The sequence below is a fragment of the Homo sapiens genome, chromosome 22 (genome assembly GCF_000001405.40).
Source record: "Homo sapiens chromosome 22, GRCh38.p14 Primary Assembly".
Classification (NCBI taxonomy): domain Eukaryota; kingdom Metazoa; phylum Chordata; class Mammalia; order Primates; family Hominidae; genus Homo; species Homo sapiens.
This window is the reverse complement of record NC_000022.11, coordinates 35,288,738-35,312,983: the sequence shown is the minus strand read 5'-3', so window position 1 is coordinate 35,312,983 and position 24,246 is coordinate 35,288,738. Positions and strand designations below refer to the sequence as shown.

General features: G+C 46.0%; 2 protein-coding genes across 15 annotated transcripts in view, besides 8 other annotated features; both read right to left on the bottom strand.

The window, feature by feature from the left end:
• TOM1 (target of myb1 membrane trafficking protein) overlaps positions 1-13,709 on the bottom strand; it is a 48,699-nt gene extending 34,990 nt beyond the window's left edge. For 9 of the 10 annotated variants that reach the window (NR_024194.2, NR_024195.2, NR_156428.2 and 6 more), the window contains exon 1: positions 13,004-13,090. Coding sequence is in view for 5 of the 10 variants with exons in the window: in NM_001135732.2 (NP_001129204.1) it covers positions 13,004-13,055 (52 nt within the window). In the remaining 5 variants the exon portion in view is untranslated. Of the gene's footprint in view, positions 1-13,003; positions 13,091-13,605 lie in introns of those variants that run through there. The other variant, NM_001135729.2, reaches the window with a different exon arrangement.
• Positions 1,583-1,862: an enhancer, noted in NCBI's record as "active region_18898". NCBI's record gives its function as "activates an Ori minimal core promoter by ATAC-STARR-seq in GM12878 lymphoblastoid cells {active_cell/tissue: GM12878}" and the evidence as "EXISTENCE:reporter gene assay evidence [ECO:0000049][PMID:35858748]".
• Positions 3,679-3,748: a silencer, noted in NCBI's record as "silent region_13653". NCBI's record gives its function as "represses an Ori minimal core promoter by ATAC-STARR-seq in GM12878 lymphoblastoid cells {active_cell/tissue: GM12878}" and the evidence as "EXISTENCE:reporter gene assay evidence [ECO:0000049][PMID:35858748]".
• Positions 11,425-11,946: an enhancer, noted in NCBI's record as "H3K4me1 hESC enhancer chr22:35697031-35697552 (GRCh37/hg19 assembly coordinates)". NCBI's record gives its function as "activates a minimal SCP1, AML or CMV promoter by ChIP-STARR-seq in naive H9 embryonic stem cells {active_cell/tissue: H9 hESC(naive)}" and the evidence as "EXISTENCE:reporter gene assay evidence [ECO:0000049][PMID:30033119]".
• Positions 12,357-12,516: an enhancer, noted in NCBI's record as "active region_18897". NCBI's record gives its function as "activates an Ori minimal core promoter by ATAC-STARR-seq in GM12878 lymphoblastoid cells {active_cell/tissue: GM12878}" and the evidence as "EXISTENCE:reporter gene assay evidence [ECO:0000049][PMID:35858748]".
• Positions 12,470-12,992: an enhancer, noted in NCBI's record as "H3K27ac hESC enhancer chr22:35695985-35696507 (GRCh37/hg19 assembly coordinates)". NCBI's record gives its function as "activates a minimal SCP1, AML or CMV promoter by ChIP-STARR-seq in naive H9 embryonic stem cells {active_cell/tissue: H9 hESC(naive)}" and the evidence as "EXISTENCE:reporter gene assay evidence [ECO:0000049][PMID:30033119]".
• Positions 12,470-13,066: a biological region, named in NCBI's record as "H3K27ac hESC enhancer GRCh37_chr22:35695985-35696507".
• Positions 12,917-13,066: an enhancer, noted in NCBI's record as "active region_18896". NCBI's record gives its function as "activates an Ori minimal core promoter by ATAC-STARR-seq in GM12878 lymphoblastoid cells {active_cell/tissue: GM12878}" and the evidence as "EXISTENCE:reporter gene assay evidence [ECO:0000049][PMID:35858748]".
• Positions 12,993-13,515: an enhancer, noted in NCBI's record as "H3K27ac hESC enhancer chr22:35695462-35695984 (GRCh37/hg19 assembly coordinates)". NCBI's record gives its function as "activates a minimal SCP1, AML or CMV promoter by ChIP-STARR-seq in naive H9 embryonic stem cells {active_cell/tissue: H9 hESC(naive)}" and the evidence as "EXISTENCE:reporter gene assay evidence [ECO:0000049][PMID:30033119]".
• Positions 13,710-17,176: 3,467 nt separating the features above from the next.
• Positions 17,177-24,246, bottom strand: part of HMGXB4 (HMG-box containing 4) — a 54,272-nt gene continuing 47,202 nt past the window's right edge. For 4 of the 5 annotated variants that reach the window (NR_027780.2, XM_047441067.1, NM_001003681.3 and 1 more), the window contains 2 exons: positions 19,870-19,992; positions 17,177-19,377 (listed from right to left, as the gene is read on the bottom strand). Coding sequence is in view for 4 of the 5 variants with exons in the window: in XM_047441067.1 (XP_047297023.1) it covers positions 19,333-19,377; positions 19,870-19,992 (168 nt within the window). In the remaining variant the exon portion in view is untranslated. The remainder of the gene's footprint in view (positions 19,378-19,869; positions 19,993-24,246) is intronic. The other variant, XM_006724101.5, reaches the window with a different exon arrangement.

Genomic DNA, 24,246 nt, shown 5'->3' with positions numbered 1-24,246 from the left:
CAGTCTCATGATCACTGAGACAGCTCTGGCTCAAGCTGCCACCTCCCCAGGCCTGCACTGTCACCTCCACGCTCTACTCAAACATAACTCCAAGCACAACTTCCTCTGTTTAAACATTGTCCATCACCCTCACTGCCTGAGGATCAAAAGCCTGAACTCTCCAGGGGCTGGCGTCAGCCACAGTCAGCTGTACCCCCTTCCTCTATGTGGCTTGCCCTCTCACGCCTCTGAGCTTCTGTCTGCAATGCCATTCCTCATTCAGTCAGGCTCATCCAGTTCACATGCTCATCTGGCACTCAGCATGCACCAGGCATGGGACTAATAAGCACGTCACACCCTCAGTCACCCGTCACCACAACCTTTAAGACAGAGGATGAATAAACTCAGGGGCATGGAGAAGGCAGCAATTTGCCTGCAGTCACACAGTTTGTGAGATGCACAGCAGATTCAAAGCCAGAGAAGTCTGGTTCTCAAGTCCATATTCATAACCACGATGCTATGTGCTTCTCAAACATTCTCAACACCTGTCCAGGCTACAGGGAGACGTCAGTGAGCAAATCCAGCAAGGTCCTGCCCCAGTGGTGGTTTACAGTCCAGTGGGAGGCCACAACTGACAATTCCAAAAGGTCGTTTCCATGGCAGGAAAGACCAGGTGCTGAGACAGTGCCAGGTGTGCTGATGAAGAGGAGGAATGAGTCAGCTGAACTCCTGAACTCCCCTTGTCTTTTTTTTTTTTTTTTGAGACGGAGTCTTGTTCTGTCGCCCAGGCTGGAGTACAGTGGTGCGATCTCGGCTCACTGCAACTTCCGTCTCCTGGGTTTAAGCAATTCTCTGCCTCAGCCCCCAAAGTAGCTGGGATTACAGGCGCCCGCCTAATTTTTTTTTGTATTTTTAGTAGAGATGAGGTTTCACCACCTTGGCCAGGCTGGTCTTGAACTCCTGACCTTGTGATCCACCCGCCTCGGCCTCCCAAAGTGCTGGGATTACAGGCGTGAGCCACCGTGCCCAGCCGAACTCCCCTCATCTTCTAAGCCCCACCCAGGGTTGGCTCCTCAGTGGTGCCTCCTTCTGGGTAGACCGTGTCACTCCTCATCCTGCACCATGACAATAACAACATCATGGAGAACAATGACAGCCATCATTCAGTGAAGAAGTGTCAGCCTGTGCAGGATGCTCGGAGGACCTCCATTTGTGTCACCTCCCCACATCCCCAACTGTCGTGGGGGCAGCCAATGTGCAGAGGTTTGTGACTTGCTAGATGCAAAGCCAGGCCTGCGTGCTCCAAACTTGTGTGCTCTCCACTCTGCTCTGTCCCTGTGAAGACTGCCTCTGCCTGCCTGGGGCAGACCTTCTGGGGCCCACCTTCTGGTGCAACAGAGCAGAGGGGGGCATTACATACTTTTGGAATGACCGACTGAGGCTCTGCACTGCCTAGGTGCTCAGTTCGATGCTGACTGCCCCTGCCTACCCTGCCTTCCCAGAACAACAATCACTGTATTTCACTGATTAGCCACCAGGCTAAGGACAGAACAAGAAAGAGTCTGGCTGTTTTGAGACATCGTGGAGCTGTCAAACCCACCCTGAAACTGCCAACCTTCAGGCTTCTTGCTAGGTAAACAAAGTGCGTTGTTGTGGTGGTTTCAGACTCTGCTGGTTGCGTTTCCTGTTACCTGCAGCTCAAAGTATTCGTGATTAATATTCCTCTTTAAGGAGTGAGGTCCAGCTGCCCTGGCCTTCCCACGGGACTGCTCCGCGGTGGACAACTACGGCATGGACCTGAAGGCACCGGGCTCCACTGAAGCCCTCGGGAGCCGGCACTGAGACCTGGCCCAGTCCTTCCTCCCACTCCCACTCACCAGCTCAGCTGATCGCCCGCAGCCACCCCATCACCCTCCTCAGGCTTCTGTGCTTCTGAACACACTGCCCTTCTTCCAGGAAGAAATGTGCTCCTCCCCACCTCAACTCGTGCTCCTAAGCCCAGATCAAAGGTCAGGTCTCCTGGTGGAGTCTGCCCTGACACCCCCCACCCCGCCAGGGCCTATTCCTTCCAGCTAGCAGCCAGTAGCATTTTCCACAGACCACAACTCTAAGCACTGCTTAGTGGAGTGATTAAAATAACTCTGTTGGGCGATCTCTTTGTTTCTACATCTCTCTCTCCCAGGAGTCTGTGAGCTCTTTAAGGGTGGCGGTTATAGCTCACAAATGGACTAACTGTCTACCCCAGATGGGACCTGGGCCATGATAAACCTGCAGTACCTGTTTGCTGAATGACTGAATGAAAGATGAGGCTGTATTCACCAGCACAATAAACCTTTATAACAGTGTAAATGAAACACCTCCACACTTGGGCACTCATTGATCCCTTACTAGCTATTGTGTGGAAATCCTAATCCTTCTTCCAACTTGCAATCCTCTGAATACATTTTTTTTTTGAGACAGAGTCTCACTGTTGCCCAGGCTGGAGTGCAGTGGCACGATCTCGGCTCACTGCAACCTCCAACTACTGGGTTGAAGTTCACCTGCCTCACTCGGCCTCCCGAGTAGCTGGGACTACAGGCGTGTGCCACCATGCCCAGCTAATTTTTGTATTTTTAGTAGAGACAGGGTTTCACCACATTGGCCAGGATGGTCTCGATCTCTTGACCTCGTGATCCACCCGTCTTGGCCTCCCAAAGTGCTGGGATTACAGGCGTGAGCCACCGTGACCCTTTGAATACTTTTAAAAAGTACCACGTCCCTCCTTAATCTGTCCTCCAACATCCTCAGGACCTGTGACCACTCCACTCTGATAATGATCTCCAGAGCCTTCACCCTATTCTGACCGACCCCTCTGGATATAGGCCAGCCATGCTGTCCATCTGGAAATGCAGTGTGGGAACCCACACGCCACATTTACCTGTCCTTGCTAGATACTGTATTTCTATTACTGTACTCAGTGACTATGTGAAATTTTTATTAACCCTACCATGTGGAGCTGACTCCAATAGTTGTGGAAGATGCTCCCCCTGGGCTCACAGCATTTAGCTTTTCTAGACCCCCTTGCAGCCAGAAGTAGCCCTGGGACTTCTGGCCACAGAGATGGAAGCGGGTGTCTCTTGGGCGGCTCCTGGGGAAGGTTTTGCTTTCTTGGTAACAGAGACACAGACAGTTGGTACTTTCACCTGTGCTTCCTACCGTGAGAATGCAAGCACGAGGATGAAACCAATGTGGTCAAGAAGGTTAGGCAGAAATACAGAAGAAGCCACTACTGAACGAATTCATTCTAGATGGACACAGATGTTGTCACTCAAAGGGAAACCCAGCAGGTCTCTCAGTTCTCTCTCTTTTTTTTTTTTTTTTTGAGATGGAGTCTCACTCTGTTGCCCAGGCTGGAGTGCTGTGGCACGATCTTGGCTCACTGCAACTTCCGCCTCACCGGTTCAAGCGATTCTCCTGTCTCAGCCTCCAGGGTAGCTGGGATTACAGGCGCCCACCACCACATCCAGCTAATGTTTGTATTTTTAGTAAAGATGGGGTTTTACCATGTTGGCCAGGCTGGTCTTGAACTCCTGACCTCAGGCGATCTGCCTGTCTTGGCCTCCCAAAGTGCTGGGATTACAGGTGTGAGCCACTGCGCCTGGCCTCTTTCAGTTCTAAGGGGGAATCGGTGAGATGGAAAAGTTGGGAGGATGGGATGCAGACACAGACAAATCCTGCCCAGACTCCAGCACCTACCAGCTGTGTGAGCCTGGGTAACTCCTCGGCCTCTCTGTGCCTCAGTTCCTCCTCTACAGAATAAAGATGACCAAAGCACTCACCTTCCAGGGATGTGTGAGGAGGAGTGTATACATTTCAAGCACCAAAATAAATGCTATCCTCTACAAACATATCAACCACAACATGATTGAGAATTTCAAGCACCCCATAAGAGATTTTTAAATCACAAATATGCAGAAGCTATTTTTTTTTCAGCCAGAAACTTGTCTTGAAAACTATTTTCCAAAGGAATAACTCTTTCCAGACCCAGCGTGGAAAGTTCCATCCATCTCCTAATTTGCTGAGCCACCCTTCCTCAAAACCCTGGCTGCCTCTCCCCTGTATTTTTTTTAACCATAAACCACAAGAGAAACCCTAAAATACCTTACAGAGGGTATTGCTTCCGCAACCCACAATGTTAAAGTCGATGTAACTAACTATAGTACCTAACAAAAGGAAATGTCAGTGAGATAAAGAAAGGTTTTCTAAAACTCCCCAGGTAAGAAGTGAGGCTGTGAAGGCAGAGGCTTGAAGTGGCTGGCTGAGGTACAGATGGCATTTGTTTTCACTCCCCACTTGGGAGTGTAAAAGGTATTGCTGACAATCTGGATGGTCAGGGGTGGAGTGGGCTTTGTATTAGTCAGGGATCTCTAGAGAAAAGGAACTAGGCTGGCTGTGGTAGCTCATGCCCGTAATCCTAGCACTTTGAGAGGCCAAGGCGGGAGGATCACGAGGTCAGGAGTTCAAGACCAGCCTGGCCAACATGGTGAAACTCTGCCTCTACAAAAAATATAAAAATTAGCCAGGTGTGGTGGCACGCGCCTGTAGTCCCAGCTACTCAGGAGGCTGAGGCAGGAGAATTGCTTAAACCTGGGAGGTGGAGGTTACAGTGAGCCAAGACTGCCCCACTGCACTCCAGCCTGGGAAACAGAGTGAGACTCCGTCTCAAAAAAAAAAGAAAAAAAAAAAAAAAGAGAAAAGGAACTAGCAGAAAGAAAGAGAGAGAGAGAGAGACAGACACACACACACACACAGGAGAAAGAGCGAGCGCTTAAGGAATTGGCTTATGCAGGTGTGAAGGCTTAGCAAGTTGAAAATCTGTAGGGTGAGCTGGCAGGCTGGAGATCCAGGAAACAGATGCTGTCCAAGTGCAAGGACAAGGGGAGCCTGCTGGCCAAGTTCCCTCTTGTTCTGGGGAGGTCAGTCTTTTTCCTATTCAGGCCTTCAACTGATTGGACGAGGCCCACCCATGTTATTGAGGGCAATACGCTTTACGCGGGTCTGGTGATTTAAATGTTAATCTCATCTAAGGCATACGTTCACAGAAACATCTAAAATAATGTTTGACCAACTATCTTTCTCCCCTGGCCTAGCCAAGTTGACACATAAAGTTAACCACTACAGGGTTTATACTGCACCAACACAAACAAGTTCAAACAGTAGACCCCTCTGTCTGTCCCTAAATTCTCTGTCTGTCTCAGCCCCTGTGGTCTGGCTGGTTCTTCTCTCCCCCTCCCTTCTCCCCTGGCTCCGTCCTTCCCTTCTGGGAAGACTCCAGGCTCCGTCCTTCCCTTCTCTACCTTCCCCAGCAGGAGCGAGGCCCAGTTCCCCTCCTCAGGGCTTGCACAGTGGTTCTCCACCGCACTTTGCAGTGCTCTATCAACTTCTAAGTTTCCCGTGTCCCTTGAGGAGGAGACCTGGGGGACACAGCCGGGAAGGGGCGGAGCTGGCACCTGAACCCAGCTCTTCTGATGCGGAGACTAAGCTGTGACCCCATTTCAGGCTGCTTACGTCCCAGTGATCAAAATGAGCTACCTGGGATCATGCCAGGTGGGCTCATGGGCAAACTTAAAGACATTTTTAGAGGGACATTAAATTTTTCCTCTCCTGCATTATTTACTTTAATGCAGGATAGGAAAAAAACACGAACATCAAAGCCATGATTTCATGGATATAATTATATAGGATGAGGTCAAATTTTAACAGATAAGCTAATGAAAAGAAAACCCTACGAAAATAATAATGAAGGTGGCATGGGGGTAGACACAAATCACAAATGAGCTACATGAAAGACAGAAGTTTGGAGGGCACTGGCCTAGATCAAGATCTCCTTAGTAAGGCAGTAAAGAGTTAAACTGTCCTGAATCCCCCTGCTTCTCATGGGGTGATGGCCTCAAGCTAATTAGGAGACACTGAGGGTTTGGGTTTTTTTTTTTCTAAAACCAGAAGAGTGGAAGTCTGGGACTATACTCTTATTTCTTTGAGCTCACTAAGGGAATAAAACCTATTCACCAGTTCTATCCATAGGGGAAGGCAAAGGCCTTAATTTCCAAGTAAGAATCTGCTCCTCCCCACAGCCTGAAACCTGACCTGTCTGTGAATGTGGTGGCCACCCAGCCAGTGACCGCTCATTTGCCAGGGACACAAAGACCATCACAAAGGCTGCACTGGAGTCAGAATCTTGGGCTGGCACTTAGCTTGGCTACTAACTTAGACTGGGTCCCAGGAATGATAACACCAGTGAAAAATCACAACAGCTAATAATTACAGAGACTTCCTGTCTGGCAGGAAGTGCTTTATAGCACAACAACACGACAGCCCTATCTGATAGGTGCTATTATTATCCTCATTGTACAGACGAGGACATTGAAGAACAGAGAGGTTAAGTAACTTGCTCCTGGTAACAAAGCTGTTGAGGACTGAACCAGGACTCAGACCATTCAGTCTGACTCAAGCTCACCCTGGGCTCTACTAATATGTGTACAGCTGATACAAAGCCCTTTCTAGACAAAGCTCTGTCATCCTCAAGACAGAAACTTGGGGATCTAATGTGGGTCCTGTACTTACGGATCAGGAAACAGAAGCTTCAAGATATTAGGGCTCACATGGGCACACTGTGGGGATAAGCACCCTCAAGCATCCCCAGTGTGGGTGCTCTGGTACCCCACTTTGAGGAACAGTGTGCTCCATCATTCTGCCTCTGGCCAGCTGCTCCGATTCAGAAGTCAGCAAACTATGAACCCATATGCCAAATTCAGTCTGTTTTGTATGGTACTCGAGCTACAGATGGTCTTTATATTTTTAAATAGTTGGGAAAAAAAAAAGCTGAAGAAGAATAATATTTCATGATATGTGAAAATTACGTGAAATTCAAATTTCATTGCCCATAAATATTTTTATTTATGCACAGTCATTCTCATTCATTTACCTATGGCCTATGTAGCTGCTTTTGTGCTATAATGGCAGAACTGGGTAGTTGCAGCAGAGACCATCTGGTTCACGAAGCCACAAGTATTTACTATCTGGCCCTTTATAGAAAAAGCTCACTGACCCTGGTCTAGTCTGCTAACCAACACAGGAATCCTCTTTATAGTCGCCCTCCCCACCCCGGCTTCTGCCTTCACAGCTCCAGTGGTGGGGAGCTCACTACTGAACAAGGCAGCCAGTTCCATCTTTGCAAGGCTCTGGGGATAGCTATTTATACTGAAACCGAACTGCTTATTCCTGTAACCACACACCATGCCCTTGGAGCCCTGCACATTCAGTTCTATCAGTCCTCCCCAGCACCCATCAGTTTTTTTTTTTTTTTTGAGATTGAGTCTCACTCTGTCACCAGGCTAGAGTGCAGCGGCGTGATCTTGGCTCACTGCAACCTTCGCCTCCCAGGTTCAAGTAATTTTCCTGCCTCAGCCTCCCAAGTTGCTGGGACTACAGGCGTGTGCCACCACGTCCAGCTAATTTTTGTATTTTTAGTAGAGACAGGGTTTCACCATGTTGGCCAGGATGGTCTCAATTTCTTGACCTCGTGATCCACCCGCCTCGGCCTCCCAACGTGCTGGGATTACAGGCGTGAGCCACCGTGCCTGGCCCGCCATCAGTTTCTTTCTTCCCTCTGGCATCAACCCTTCCCTGTCCCTATATATGACCTCTGTCGTTCCTTACCAATCCTCTGGGAAGCAGAGGGAGAATGACAGCACCTCTGTGTTGCCAATAGGGGAGATGGGCAATGGAGAGGGACCGTGACATAGTTAGGAGCAGAACCAGAGCTGGAACCAGGTGTCCCGCCTCCCAGCCTGGTGTCTCCTCAACATCGCTTAAGTGTCCACTTTCCAGCCCATCATTCCCCAACTGGCCCCCAAGGGCCTGAAGTGGTCTCTCACTTCTGTGATTCCTTCCTGTGGCTCCCCCGGCTTGGCTTTTGTGGATTCAAAGACAGCTCTCTCTGACTTTTTCACTTTTCCCCTCCAGGGCTCAGTCTTCAGGCTCTGGGCTCTTCTCCCCTCACACCCAGCTCCCACCACCCCAACCACTGAGGCTCATCCCCAGGGACTGCCCATATTTACCATCTCTGTTGTTTGCAACTTACTGTTGGCAATCAGCTAGGATTTGGACTCCAAGTGCTTAGGGGTAAGCTGACAGCCAGAAATGGAAAATGGGTTTCTTGATATCTGTCTATAAAACAGAGCCAGTAGGCCGGGTGCAGTGGCTCACGCCTGTAATCCCAGCACTTTGGGAGGCCGAGGTGGGTGGTTCATGAGGTCAGGAGATCGAGACCATCCTGGCTAACACGGTGAAACCCCGTCTCTACTAAAAATACAAAAAATTAGCCAGGTGTGGTGGCGGGTGCCTGTAGTCCCAGCTACTTGGGAGGCTGAGGCAGGAGAATGGCGTGAACCCGGGAGGTGGAGCTTGCAGTGAGCCGAGATCGCGCCACTGCACTCCCGCCTGGGCGACAGAGTGAGACTCTGTCTCATAAAAAACAAAAAACAAAAAACAAAACAGATCCAGTAAGATTTGTCTGCAGAGAATATCTGGAAAGGGTTTGAAATCCTTGAAAGAAGAGGGCTGTGACAACACCAGCTGGTACAAAGGATCTGGAATCCTCTCAGCTACGGGTGCTGCCCTTGGGAAGCTCCCCTACTCATCGATGAGGGGAGGGGCCTGCAAGTGTGAGACCCATGTACATGTCCTTATCTGAGGGTAGAATAAGAGTTGTGGCTCTTGGAGGGTGGGACAGACATCAATTCAAAAGAAGCACTGGGCAGCTCGAGGCAGTGTGGTGAGGGTACAAAAGAAGACCTGGGTCTGGATTCTGACCTTGAGTGGCTGTGGAACCCTGGAAAGCGATGCTTTCTCTTAGACTGACTTTTGGTGAAATGGGAAAAAAATAGCAAAACCGCACAGGGTCACCATGAGATTAATACCCAGGACGCTAGCAGAATACCTGGCAGAGTTATTATGGTGTTTGCTCACAAAATGTTACTTTCCTTTTCTCCCTTCCTCCTTCCTGCTATGTGCCAGGCACCGTGCTAGGTGCTGAGGGTCTGGAGAAATAAGGCACAGTTCCTGCTCTCAAGAGGTTCAGCCTAGCTGTGGAGACAGACATGCACAACCACTAACAGAGTGGGACGGTGGCATATTAGTATAATGAGGGTAGAAATAATAAAAATAAGCCAAGCGTGGTGGCTCACACCTGCAATCCCAGCACTTTGGGAGGCTAAGGTGGCTGGATCACTTGAGGTCAGGAGTTCAAGACCAGCTTGGCTAACATGGTGAAACCCCATCTCTACTAAAAATACAAAAATTAGCCGGGCATGGTGGTGTGCACCTCTAATCCCAGCTACTCGGGAGGCTGAGGCAGGAGAATCACTTGAACCTGGGGGGCAGAGGTTGCAGTGAGCTGAGGCTGTGCCACTGCATTCCAGCCTTTTTTGAGACTCTGTCTCAAAAAAAAAAAAAAAAAAGAAATAATAAAAATGATGATGGTGATGATGACAGGAAGAGCTAATGTTTCCATACACTCACACTGTGCGAGACACTCTCAGAGGACTATCTTGTTTCATTCCAGCAACCACCCTGTGAGGCAGATGCTGTTAGTAACATTCTACCAAGGAGGAAGCGGAGATTCAGAGCCCAAAGTCATAGGGCAAGGGGGCCTGAGGATCTAGGATAAAGGGAGAGTAAAAGAGCAACGTCGGGCTTGGGGCAAGCCTCAGGGAGGAGGTGATGATGCCCTGTACTTTGAAGGGTGATCTGGAGCTCCTCAGTGGGGGCACAGGAGCAAGCAACCCAGGCAGAGGGACCAGCAAGCACAAAGGGGTGTGTGTGTGTGTGTGTTGGGAGGGGAGGTGGATGAGAACTTTGTGATTCCAGTGACTGACACTCATTCCTGATTAGCATCATTAGAATCACCATCTGAGGGATGTCAATTCCATATGGCTCTACAGCTCTACTATCAACAAGGGCATGGGAGTCGGCAGGCTTGAGAAGAGATGGTACTCCTGCAGCAAGGAGGGGCCTGGTTTACAGAATTATAAGCAGCTATACTGTGTCATCAGTAATCACAGCCAGGGAGCAGTACTTCCTCCGCCTCTTTATCTAAAAGAATATGGAATACTGAGGGGATTAACTCAAACTCTTAATTCTACTTTTGGAGCCTCTTCAGCTTTGGTTTAAATTTCAATGACTCAGTTTTGCTGTCAATTTACTGGGGTCTTGGATGAGTCACAGCCTCCACTTTCCCCTCTCTGGACCTTAGTCTCCGCCAGTGTAAAATGAAGGGGATGGGCTGGAACAGCATTAGCATTACCCGGGAACTCAACAGAAATTCACATTCTAGGCCGGACACGGTGGTCATGCCTGTAATCCCAGTACTTTGGGAGGCTGAGGTGGGTGGGTCACCTGTTCAGGTTTGAGACCAGCCTGGCCAACATGGAGAAACCCCATCTCTATTAAAAATACAAAATTAGTCGGGTGTGGCGGAGCGTGCCTGTAATCCCGGCTACCTTGGGAGGCTGAGGCAGGAGAATCGCTTGAACCCGGGAGGCGGAAGTTGCAGTGAGCCAAGATGGTGCCATTGCACCCCAGCCTGGGCAACAAGAGCGAAACGCAGTCTCAAAAAAAAAAAAAAAAAAAAAAGAAAAAGAAAAAGAAAAAGAAAAAAAAAGAAATTCACATTCTAGAGTCCCACCGCAGACCTGGAGAGTCAGAAACTCTGGGGTTGGGGCCCCGACATTATTTAACAAGCCCTCCTAGGAATTCTGATGAGAACCACTGGGTTAGAAGATCCCCAAGGTAAGGCTCTTTTACCTGCAAAATTCCATTTGTGCTTTAAGGTATTATGATTTAGTAGCATTCTCTTTGCACAGAAGTATTTCTTGCCCAAGAAAGGCAACGCTTCAAGGTAAGAAGAGAAGTTTGCTTTGATTAGCTGAAATCCAGAACCCAGGTGAGCTTTTCCAGAAAGCCTTAAGAGTATGTGGCTGACTTTGAAGCCAGGTCTTTTATTTACTTGTTTATTTTTAAGTAGTAAGTCTTAAACTTGGCATGTGATAAAAGCAGTGGTTTCTGTAGTCAGAGAAATATAGATGAGAGGAGAGCTGCCTTCTCTTTTCAGCTCCAAAAAACCATGACTCACTGTGGGGTGGGTGTGTGTCCGGGGAGGGCAGGGGTCCTTTGAGAGGGCAGTTCCTCTCCCTGGTTCAGGAGCTTCCTGGTGTGTAAATCCTGGACTGCCACCTCCCCCTTGGAGAGCATTGATTACAAAACCTCGGAAGAGCCACCGACAGCCACGGTGGCGATTACAACACAGAGCCGGGTCGACAAGCTTTCGTGAGGTTTCGCAAGACACTAAGAATGGAAAATATGTCTCATCTTAAAGTTTTCCCAGTCTGGACTTAAGACGAAAAGTCGTCATCAAAAAAGATGAAGAGTAATTTCACGGTAATGCGATGGTTTCTTCATGCAAGAATGCGGAACACCCAAACCATCCTCCGGAGAAGTGTGGCTGTTTGGGTGAAGGCATGTCGGTTCTCATGGTGTTGGTGCCCAAGAATGAGCACCTATGAGATCTACTGCCAAGCGATTTCCAGGGATTCCTAACCTTCACTTGGTGATCTCAGGAACAACGTGTGTGTGTAAATACATATAATATATATGTATGTGTATGTATATGTATGTTTGTATGTGTATATTTTTATATATATGTGTGCGTGTGTGTGTGTGTATGTGTATGTGTTTCAAGAGATGGGCTCTCCCTGCGTCGTCCAGGCTGGAGTACAGTGGCGCCATCAGGGCTCACTGCAGCCCTGACCTCCCAGATCCAATAAATCCTCCCAGCTCTGCCTACCGAGTGGCTGGGTGCACAGGCACGCACCACCACGCCCGGCTAATTTCTGTATTTTTTTTTTTTTTTTTTTTTGTAGAGACGGGGTCTCGCCATGTTGCCCAGGCTGGTCTCGAACTCCTGGGCTCAAGCGATCTGCCCGCCTTGGCCTCCCAAAGTGCTGGGATTACAGGCGGGAGCCACCGTGCCCAGCCCAGTGATAATAAATATTACAACTGTTTTTTTTTATATGGCACTGGCCATGTACCAGGCATTGTTCTAAGTATTTCACATTTATTAAGGAATTTAATCTTCACAACAAGCCCACGGAGGTGGGGACCATTATTGCCCGCCAACTACAGGTGAGGAAACCTCGGCCCAGGGAGGCTGCGTCACAGAACTGTGAGTATCCTGTCACCAGGGTGCAGAGAACCACGGACCAGCAGACAGGCGCCAGGTGCCCTGGGCTTGGCTTGGCCCGAGTTCCCGGCTGCCCCACCTACGGAGCACCGAGATGGGCTGACCAGGAGGGTTTGTCCGACCACTGTCTGCTCAGGTTCTGAGAGTCTGTGCGGGTCCATTTGAGGTTGGGTCGAGAAAAGAGCCCAGGCGGACACGTCCTGAGACCCGGGTCTGTGAGGCCTGGCCGCGGGCTGTCCGGCGCTGGGCCCCTCTGGCCAGTTGGCCCCAAGACGCCAAGCCCGGGGCTTCGCGGTCCTGGGAGAAGGGACTTCTAGCCCTTCTCAGGTGTCTGTGTCCGGAGGGCCCGGTGAGCCAGGAAGGAGCTGGCCAGAGCCCAGGCGGCGGGACCCAGCAGAGTGGCCCAGCCACTGCCAACCACGCAGTCCCTTTAACCACGAAAACTTTCTCCCTCGATTGGGGACCCCAGCAGACGCACATTGGCTGCGCCGTGGGCATCCGGACCCACCCTCTCTCCTTACCTACTGGCTGTCATATACATCTATCACAAGCCAAGGCTTCCTAATGGCCCAAGTTCTTGTCAATCAAGAGTGGGAGGAAAGCTGGGCGGAGCCAGGTCGGAGAGCTACACGCCAGCCTCCTTGCCCTCCCTGCCTCCGTGACTAGGCACCCGGAGGCTTCCCAGGGGACCGAAGCTGGGTGCGGAGCACCGGGGCGGAGCTGTGGGGGGCTCCAGGGACTCACCGATGCGCTGTCCCACTGGAGAGCTGAACGGGTTCCCCAGGAGAAAGTCCATTGCTGCTACCGCCGCTGCCACCAACCCCGGGAATCAGCTGACAGCAACCGCCAGCGCCACCGACCCGTCACGTGACGCACTCGGAGGCCGGCGAGGAGGCGTGGGCGGGGCGGTGGCACCGCGAAGCTCGACCACAAGCCCCGCCCTGAGACGCCAGGGTCCCGCCCCCGAGGCGGAGGGCGATGACCTCACTGCGGCTTGCTCGGCGGCGGCGGGCGTCACACACGATGTAGGGTCTGGGGTCGGGGCCCGGGAAGCGCGGTCCTCTTTAAGCCACGCCCCTGACCTTTTAGGGCGAGGTCTAAAGGACCCTTTACACATTTGGGAAACTGGGTCGTAGACCAGGGAAGTGACTTGGGTGAGTTACACAGAAGCCGAGACTCTTAGGGTCATAGCCCTTAGTCCTTGGGACCTCACTGTGACTGCACACCTACCCTGGGTGACAGCCTCTCTGGGCTGTTGTCTCCTTGTCCCGGTAAGACTCTTCCTGTTTGATGTCAAGGTCTCCCCGCTCCAAGATGCACCCTGCTCGCAGCCCAAATTATCTTACCTTAAATCAGAGGCAAGGGCAAGGGGTTTGTCATCTGTTGAGACTGAGAGGCAATTTAATGAATTGCAGCGCAATTCCCTCTAGCGCCCAGGATGGCAAAAAGCACAGATGTAGTCACGAGTGGGGCTTTAATACCCGTCTCTGCCATAAATTTACTGTGTGAGCCAAACATAGCTCCCATTTTCTCTAGATACTGGAATTAGATCAAGGACTCGTAACCATTTTTAAAAAATATTTTATTTAGGTCACAGTCTCCTTTGAGAATTTGACAAAAGCCATGAGCCTTTCTGAAGAAAAAAGGCAGCGATACAATTTTGCTTATAACCTCAGGGAGTTTCTGGGGTCCCTGAAGTACAACCGTGGACCCCAAGCTAAGAATCTCAAAGGCCTTTCCCAGCGTTGTGATTCTAATCTCTTCAGCCTTCCTGGCTGTGTGTGGTGTGTCTGCTGACACCTACACACTAGATACCTATCTATGGGTTATGACCTTTTCTTCTGGCATGTACTCCAAAAATACAATAACCATGGCCTTAGTAGTCTGGCTACTGTGGGTGCTTAAGTACTTATTGTGATGTTTGTGGTTTTTAAATCTGAAAGGCTAGTAAATTGACTGCACAAATTTTGGATGACAGAAAACCTAAATTAAGCAAGGTGTGGTGGCTCACGCCTGTAATCCCAACATTTTGGGAGGCTGAGGCAGGTGGATCACCTGAGGTCAGGCATTCAAAACAAGCCTAGCCAACATGGTAAAATGCCGTCTCTACTAAAAATACAAAAATTAGCCAGGTGTGGTGGTACACGCCTGTAGTCCCAGCTACTTGGGAGGCTGAGGCATGAGAATTGCTTGGACCCAGGGGGGCAGAGATTGCAGTGAGCTGAGATCGTGCCACTGCACTCCAGCCTGGGTGACAGAGTAAGGCTGTGTCTTAAAAAAAAAAACAAACCTAAATTAGAACTTAATCACCTCTGTAGATTCACTTGTTTGAGCAGCCATGGGGTCCGATGTCTTTACTGTACAATATAAAAACTGCTTTGAAGTGTTTCCACAACACTCATGAGACCTGTTCACAAATGCCTTTGCCCCCACGAGTCTGGATGTCCCTGGGGGCTGGGCTACTATTTCTGTTTTGCTCCCCACTATTGTCTAACCCAGTAACTAGCACATGAAAGCTTAAATAGATCTACGTTTCAGTAATGGTATTTGGAGTATAAGCGGGGAGAAGGCCATTTAAGATGACCTTCAGGTCAAGGCACTTTCCATGTCTTTCTTCACTTAACCTTATTGCTTGGTCATATGGAGTTATGTTTAGCATGAACTTCTTTTGGATTCTTCCATTAACCTTTATTTATTTATTTTTAGAGGCAAAGTCTCACTATGTTGCCCAGGCTGGTCCTTGAACTTCTGAGCTCAAGTGATCCTCCCACCTCAGCCTCCCAAAGCCCTGGGTTACAGGCATGAGCCACCATCTCTGGCCCTTCCTTTAAGCTTTTAACAAGTTCTTGTAAACTTTATTCATGGTAAAAAAAAAAAAAAAAAAAAACAAAAAAAAACAAAAACAGAGACAACTCATATGCCCCCAAACAGGAAGTGGAATCATAAACTCCATGCAGGCTGGGCACGGTGGCTCACACCTGTAATCACAGCACTTTGGGAGACCCAGGCAGGCAGATCACGAAGTCAGGAGATCAAGACCATCCTGGCTAACACGGTGAAACCCCATCTCTACTAAAAAAATAGAAAAAATTAGCTGGGCGTGGTGGTGGGCGCCGTGGTGGGCGCCTGTAGTCCCAGCTACTCGGGAGGCTGAGGCAGGAGAATGGCGTGAACCTGGTAGGCGGAGCTTGCAGTGAGCAGAGATTGCACCACTGCACTCCAGCCTGGGAGACAGAGCGAGACTCCGTCTCAAAAAAAAAAAGAAAAACAACTCCATGCAAACTGATTACTATATAGCTATTGAAACAGAAATGGAAGTATATGGATTTATTTATTTATTTATTTTTAAAGACAGAGTCTCTGTCACCCAGGCTGGCGTACAGTGGTACAACTGTAGCTCACCGTAGCCCTGATCTCCTGGGCTCAAGTGTCTTCCCACTTCAGCCTCTTGAGTAGGTGGGACTGCAGATGCATGCCACCATACCTGGCTAATATCTTTTAGTTTTTGTAGAGATGGGGTTTTGCTATATTCTCCAGGCTGGTCTCAAACACCTGGCCACAAATGATCCTCCTGACTTAGTCTCCCAAAGTGCTGGGATTACAGACACGAGCCACTGCACCTGGCCAGTATATGGATTTTATCAACATAGTAGATAGGGATGTAAATGGCAAACATTAAAGTTAGTACAAAACTGATTAAAACTGTCTTTAAAAAGTGTGCTAATAAGGAGCAAACTGATTTAGTAAAAAGTGTTTCAATTTACTTTTTAAGTGTTTTAGTAAAATTAATATCATGCCTTACTGAGGGTTAAAATGTTCAAATTTCTTAAGATTGACAGTCTGCATAAATGTAATCTATTAAATCCTTTAAGTGCTTACAGACAAAAATCAAGATACCTTGCCTTCAAAATTTAAAGACAATAGTATGACAAGAGTGAAAGCCAGCTAGATACCCGAACAATGCAAAGATCTGAGACAGCATTCCCACAATCACATTCGCTCAGGACTTGAGATAATGGAAAGCATTCTGATGAATTATAGACATGATTTAAATCTGAAAGTAGCTTGGGGTAGAAAAGAGCCTAGGGTTTGGGGTCAGCTGTTTCACTGTTCTTAATCTGCCTTTGCCATTTACTAGCAGTATAAACTTAGGAAAAGTACTTTTTCGCATCTATAAAGGGAGATAATATTCTTAAGGCTTTGGGCGGAGGATGAGTGAGACAAAGTATGCAAATCACTCTAATAGTCACTCAGTGATACGGTAGTCTCTTCCTTGCTGCCTTTCCATAAGACATTAGCCTTGTAATTAATCATATTATTTTACTATTTATGACTTTTAACACCTTGTGTTTGCACTGAAGTTTTTACCTTGAAAGGTCATATCTCCATATATTCAGTGTTCATAATGTTATTAAACATTCATGTCAGGCTGGCTGGCTGCAGGTCTACAGACAGGGAAGTGACTTTAACACTATTCTATAGATGGGACTTTGGAAGCCTATAAAGATTAAGTAACTTATCAACAGCATTACTGTAATGCTAACAGGACAGTACTGAAACATATCATTTAGCACATGATTCAGATGCAACCCTTATATAAGATTAATCAACATTTTCTTGATTTAGGCCAACACCATAATGCACATAGTTTCATTTGCCAATAAATGGAGGTGGAATTATCAGATTCACTAAATTTGCAATTTGCAAAAGAGAAAATGAGAACCTCTACAATGTAAAAGTTAATAGAAGCAGAGTAAGGAGTATATTAAGAAAATGGCTAAGATTAGAAATTTAATCTCCATTGTGGGTTGATTTTTTTCTTAAGAAAATTATGGTAGAATAGAGTGAAAAACAGGTTTTATAATTTCATAGCAACTATGATGATCATGATTAGGGAAAAGACAGCTGAGACTGGACTACAAATATTAAAAATGTGATTTTTAATAATATAAGTACAAAATTTTATTTCTTTATACAACTGTAATGGGATTTGGATCAAACCACTAGAATTTATTTAAAAAACAAAATAAAACAATGATATAAAAACTGCAAGAAGGTCTGAATCCAAAGTTTTTCCTCTAATAGTACCAAATACCACAAGGTACAGATTATTATACAAATGTGTACAAATTTTAAATACAAATACAATAGGGCTGGGTTTCAAAGGAAAACAAACAAAAAGCAGGTCCTCATCAGGATTTCATTAATGTATATAAATGACAATGCTAGGATTAATGTCTTCCTATACTATCCATGTCTTCCCCGCCCCTCCTAGATACCCTGTGTCAAACAGGAAACTTCCACAGATACAGAAGAGGCATGGTACAATGTTCTAACACATGAAATCAAGTTAAGATTTCTGTTCCTCTTGATTTTGGTTCTCAAACAATCCTGTTTCTCTGTATTCCCAATTAAATCTTAAAACTGCTCTGAGCTGAGAAAGGGATTCAGCAGCCAGACTACCTTTAAGCAACATAGCCCTGTGACAACACTGGTGGGGAGAAGGGAAGAAATTAAATAGGATGCAGATGGGCTACACTGTCCCCAAAGATTTACTTTGATGCTGTAGTGCTCTGTCAGGGCCAGGAGAAGAAAGCACAGTTAACTCAGAGCTTGGTGTTGGCAGAGAATCTCATACCAAATTTAAAAACCATCCTGAAGTGCTCAACTGTCTTCTTTCCAACTGGGAAACAAACGTCTGGTTCTCTGGAAATAAGGGCAGCTGGGGATGGTAACATTCCTCTTTATTTTACTTTCTAGACATTATTGAAGCCCATGAAGTTCTTTATAAAGAATTAGAATCCTAACACAATGATTCATTTTTGAGGTAAAATACCTTAAAATGTAGATGATTCAGAGTTTTTGGAACAGACCAGGAGGAAGGAAGGAAAGAGGGAAGGAAACAGGGAAGGAAGGAAGGAAAGAAGGGAGGGCGGAAGGGAGAAATGACAAATCTGTATCTTCCACATGCTGTTGCTGGTGGAGGCTTCTGTTATTAAATTATATATACAGAAATTTACAGGATAAATTAAAATCTAAGAGATTTTAAAGAGTTAAATACACATAATTAAAATACACATTCACACACACATAAATAAACCTACAAGAGAGTGAGTTTTGTTTTGTTTTTGCAATTCACTTACATGTGGAATGCAGAACACTGTGTATCTGCCCACCAGGGGAACTGATAAGATGAACCCAAAAATCATGCTGGGCAAAGTTTATCCATAACCACCGAGCAACTAAGCAGCACGGCTTGTGAGGACTTGGTGGCTAACTTCATGCTGCCAGTGAAAGACACCAGCACTTAATTCTGCCGACTAAAGATTCTGGGTTAGCTCAGAATGTATGGAGGTCCAACTGGTGGCATTGACAGCTTCACCCCCCAAGGTGTTTTTTGCTGCCAGGGCTCACAGAACTCCTTGGCCTCTGTTGAGGCCACCAATGGTACCAATGATTACAATAAATTTTGAGACACAGACACCTATACAGTAGGAATTGGAATGAACCCTCTACTCAATTCACCTAAGCCACTTCCATAACTATAAAGGGAACAAATTTTATCACCTCCCACCTAGGTCACTTCAAATTGAAAGGCTTTGAATTTTCAGTCAACTGGCATCTTCCCGTTATCTTTCCTATTACATTTCAGACTAAGACAGGTAAGGCAAATGGTCAGTGATGGGTCTGGAGGTCCAACTGAGCTTGGAAAATAATCACATTTTAGCTGTCCATAAAGAGATGCGCTTGGCACCCAGAACAAGCCCCCAGCCCCCAAGTTACATTGATTTTTAAGGCAGATTTATCCACCACAGGAGAAAAAAGAATCCCAAGCCTGTATTCATGCCAAAATTTCCTCTTGGCTAAACCTTTGCCATTTCATAAAATTATTAAAAGCAAAGTAGTTACAGTCTATGTATATATTGTACATTATATATATATGTATATATGTATGTATAGATATAAAAATTTAAAACCTACAGCCAGAGGCCACTGAAGGAATCTGCAACAGTCATATATACACAAACCAGCAATGGTGTAGGATAAGGTTTCTGTCCCAGGATTCTTTGCTGTCACAGTCCCGGCATGATGTAAGCAATGTTGTCTAATGTGTTTGACTGCAAAACAAAGAAAAATGTTCAACTGAAGAGTACTGTACCTTGGTTTCCTGAGAGATGTTTCTTTGTTCAAGGAGAGAGATAAGAAAAATCAAATGGAGTTAGAAAAACAGGTGAGAATGAAGACGGCATCCTGCTGTTTGTTATGCTAGGAACTTTTCTGCTGACTTCTCCCATTAATCCTCGTAAAAAAGAGGGAAACAATTCCTGTACTGTCTTTGGGTGCAGAATAGCAAACAGGAAACACAGGAATTGTAGTACCTCAAGGGCTAGAATGCTGCTTTCTTAAGTACTGTTTTGGTAAATGGCTTGTTTTCTAGTTTCAGTGAAAGTACAGCATGCATTTGATAATATAGCATCATGTTCCATGGGCCAACAGATGAAGGAAGCACTGTGTGTCACAAAGCCTTATGTGTGTCTGACAGTGCTCATTAAGGCAGGGCATCTCTGACGCCCAATGGATCTGACTCTAAAAATCCAGGGAAAACTCACCAAGACCTGTTTGGGACAGCCATTCAATTCAGGTAGTTGTGTGGTGAGACATGCCAAGGGGCCAAGGGCACAGATAATGGAATCCAGAAGCACTGACAAACTGCCAGACACAGCCACCATACCCTGAAAAGGAGAGGAGGTTGTTGCTTGAGTCACACTCCTGATGCTGTGTTCCGGCTGACTTCCTCACACAGTACTTTAAATCCTAGGCAGTTCTACTCTTATAATTTGAAACTTTACAGCAGAAATGGAAAGTTTACTTTGATAACTCTGTAAGTTGTTTAGAAAGAAAACTTTTACAGCACATTCCCATGTTCCCTTTCCGTAATCCTAGCCCATCTTCTTACCTTCTGAGTGACCTTGGGGAGTTCACATCCTTAACTTCTGTCTCCTTAACAGGAACAGTAAAAAATGCTTTACCTACTCTGGAGAGCTGTTGGTAAGATTTGTGATTATGTATGCAAAGTATATCTGTTATAAACTCGACAAATATAGCTCAGATGTGATTACTATGAGAATCCTACAACCCTGCATGTATGTAGCTTTTGATAGCTGATTATACAATTTTTCTAGGTTGAGTTGTTCACTCTCAAAGTGAATTTGGTTCAAATTTTAACATTTTATGTAATTCATATTGTCTATTTGTGATTCAAAGAGATAAGAAAGACTGTTGCTGCTGCCGAGTTCTTGTATAATCTGCTTTAACTAGAAGCAGTGTGAGAATATGTCATATTGGGAAGCAACACAGCACAGTCCTTAAGAAAATGAGCTCCGGATTCAAGACTGCCCGGGTCCAGATCCTGGCTCCACTACTCACTGTTTTGTACCTAGGCAAGTTGCTTACTATGCTGTGCCTGTAAGATACTAACAGCATCTGCAGCAGATGGGATTGAGATAATAGATATAATATACTTGGGATGGTGCTTAATACATGGTTAAGTACTCAAAAAATATCAGTAATTATGAATATTACTACCAACATCTTGATCTTCAAAACTGCATTTCTGGCTGTCTTTTGGGTCTCTCCTTTTGGATATTTCTCCATCTCAACTTCCTGTAAGGAAGAATAACCTTCCCATGCAAATCTAGCCCTCCTTTGAGCATCCATTTCTCTGCCAAAGTCACCACCATTCACATAACTGCCCAGTCTCAAGGCCTAGCCATCACTGACTCTTCCTTTCCCTCATCCTCCTTGTCAACATCTCCCCCCTATACTTTCTGAGGGCAGCAGTACAGTAAGAGGTTAAGAACCCGGACCTTGAGGTCACATTCCAAATTCAAGTCTCTATTTTACCACTTAGGGGCTAAACTCTAGAGAAAGTGACTTCACCTCTTTAAGTCTGTTTATTCTTCTGTAAAATGGGGGGAACAAATTCTGCCTCACAAAGCTGCAGTGTGAATTAAATGATATAATTCATATTAAGCACTCTGAACCAAAGCTGGGTGAGTGAGCCTTCAATAAAACATTAGTATACAGGGAAGATAATAGCTAAAACCCCAAAAATGTCAGTAATTAGTAATATTGTTCCATTTCCTTTGCCCTATATTTATTTATAGCTAATTTATCTTTGTCACATCTAGACTAGGATTATTGTTTTAACTTCTCCCCAATTCTGGTCTCTTTTCACTTCCAATCTAAAATAAAAGATATTCTCAGAGAAAAGTAAATGAGAGCTCTGATCTCATCCCTTTCCACTGTAAAAACCCCTGTAGTTCCCCAACAGTGAAGTATACACACTTCAGAATGTCTATGAAGTCCCTCTGCAATTTGGGTTCTAGCTTTAACTTTCTTAAGATACACACACACCACACGCCACACACACGCACAATTTTTATTTTTATTTTTTTTGAGACAGGGTCTCACTCTGTTGCCCAGGCTGGATGGAGTGCAGTGGTGTGATCTCGGCTCACTGCAACCTCCACCTCCCGGTTCAAGCGATTCTCCTGCCTTAGCCCCACAAGTAGCTAGGATTACAGGTGTGCACCACCACAACTGGCTAATTTTTGTATTTTTAGTAGAGATGGGGTTTTGCCATGTTGGCCAGGCTGGTCTCGAACTGCTAGCCTCAGGTGATCCTCCCACTTTGGCTCCCAGAGTCCTGGGATTACAGGAACAAGCAACAGTGCTCGGCCTCTAGCCTTAATTTTCTAACTTATGCATTGTATGTTCCAGTTTTACTGCTAAAATGATGAACATTAATTTACTACTGAACATATTATTTTGATAATTATATGTCCATTACGATGTACATTAAAAAAATAGAATATAACCCTTGAGATGTCATGAATGTCACTGTAAAAGCACAGACAAGTTTATTTAAATAAAATTATAAAGTAAGTAAAAGTATTAAGTGGTATGTGGAAATTATAAAATTGCAGAGATCTATGCAAATGATTAAATTCGGGCCAAAAGTGGATTAGAGGGAGAATGGGGAATAACTGCCAATGGGTACAGGGTTTCTTTTTTTTTTTTTTTTTTTTTTTGAGGCGGAGTCTCGCTCCGTCGCCCAGGCTGGAGTGCAGTGGCGCAATCTCGGCTCACTGCAAGCTCCGCCTCCTGGGTTCACGCCATTCTCCTGCCTCAGCCTCTCACAGGCGCCCGCCACCACGCCCAGCTAATTTTTTGTATTTTTAGTAGAGATGGGGTTTCACCACGTTTGCCAGGATGGTCTCGATCTCCTGACCTCATGATCTGCCTGCCTCGGCCTCCCAAAGTGCTGGGATTACAGGCGTGAGCCACCGCGCCTGGCTGGTACAGGGTTTCTTTTAGGGGTAACAATATGTTTTGGAATGAAATAGTAGTGATTCACAATTCTGTGAATATATTAAAAATCACTAAATTCTGCACTTTAAAAGGGTGAACTTTGTACTTACTAAACTAAATGGAAATATCTGGGAAAATTCAGAATACGCTTAAAACAAACTGTTTTTACTTCTAACTTCTTACGAAACGTAAGAATGATTAAATCTGAAAAATAAGTAAGGTCATAGAATACTTCTTCTGGAAATATCTATATCCATTCAGATATCGAGCCTATATGAAGGTGCTGAAGTTCTTTTGACTACTGCTAAAATTTTTAGAAACTAGCCAAAGAATTTAGATATAGCTTCAGCTCTTGTGGCCTTTGGCATTTTATTTGTTGAATAATTCAATTTCCACATTGAAGCAAGTGATTAGTTTTACATTCCTACACTAATTTCTTAGCTTAAAAATGGCTTTAGTAGCTTAGACTGACTTCTTTGCTGAAATGTCTTACTAGAACTTGGTGGAAAGCGGAACTACTATACTAATGAGTTAGCTAAGGGGACAATATTGTTAGAAATTGAATATGGTAATAGAAATGAAACACGACAGCTGTGCAGGTTAAGTGATTTTTGAAATTGAAGCTTAAAAGGACAAAAATCTCCCCAGGGCATATAGCACTGTATAATTTAAGTGCAGAGTAATGGAGAGCTGGGAACCTTAACTTCTCCATTTGTTACCTATTTTCAAAACAGAGGAACTCTTAATCTCCTATACAATTGAATATTCAAGACTTTGCTGGAAATGCAGAGAAAAATTCAAAGTCTCTTAGAAGGAGACAGAAGTAATCAAAACTGCTATGGAATTTGTACTCATCCTTTTTCTTGCCTTTTTGTTTTTGTTTTTTTAAAAAAGATAGGGTCTTGCTCTGTCACCCAGGCTGGAGGGCAGTGCAGCAATCATAGCTTACTGCAGCCTTTGAGCTCCTGGGCTCAAGCAATCCATCTGCCTCAGCCTTCCGAGTAGCTGGGACTACAGGTGTGCACCACCATGCCTGGCTAATTTTTTAATTTTTTGTAGAAATGGGGTCTCGCTATGTTGCCCAGGCTGCTCTCCAACTCCTGGCCTCAAGCGATCCTCCTGCCTTGGTCTCCCAAATTGCTGGGATTACAGACATGGGCCACCGTGCCCAGCCACCACTGCGTTTTTCTTTCTTTCTTTCTTTCTTTTTTGTGATGGAGTCTTGCTCTATCGCCCAGGCTGGAGTACAGTAGCGCAATCTTGACTCACTGCAACCTCTGCCTCCCAGGTTCAAGTGATTCTCTTGCCTCAGCCTCCCGAGTAGCTGGGACCACAGGTGCATGCCACCACACCTGGCTAATTTTTGTATTTTTAGTAGAGACAGGGTTTCACCATATTGGCCAGGCTGGTCTTGAACTCCTGACCTCGTGATCCGCCTGCCTCAGCCTCCCAAAGTGCTGGGATTACAGGCATAAGCCACCACGCCCGGCCCCATTTTTATTTCTTTTAAATTTTTTGAATATATGTATTTTTTGAGATGGAGTCTCACTGTGTTGACCAGGCTAGTCTCGAACTCTTGGCCTTAAGCGATTCTCCCAGGTGGGCCTCCCAAA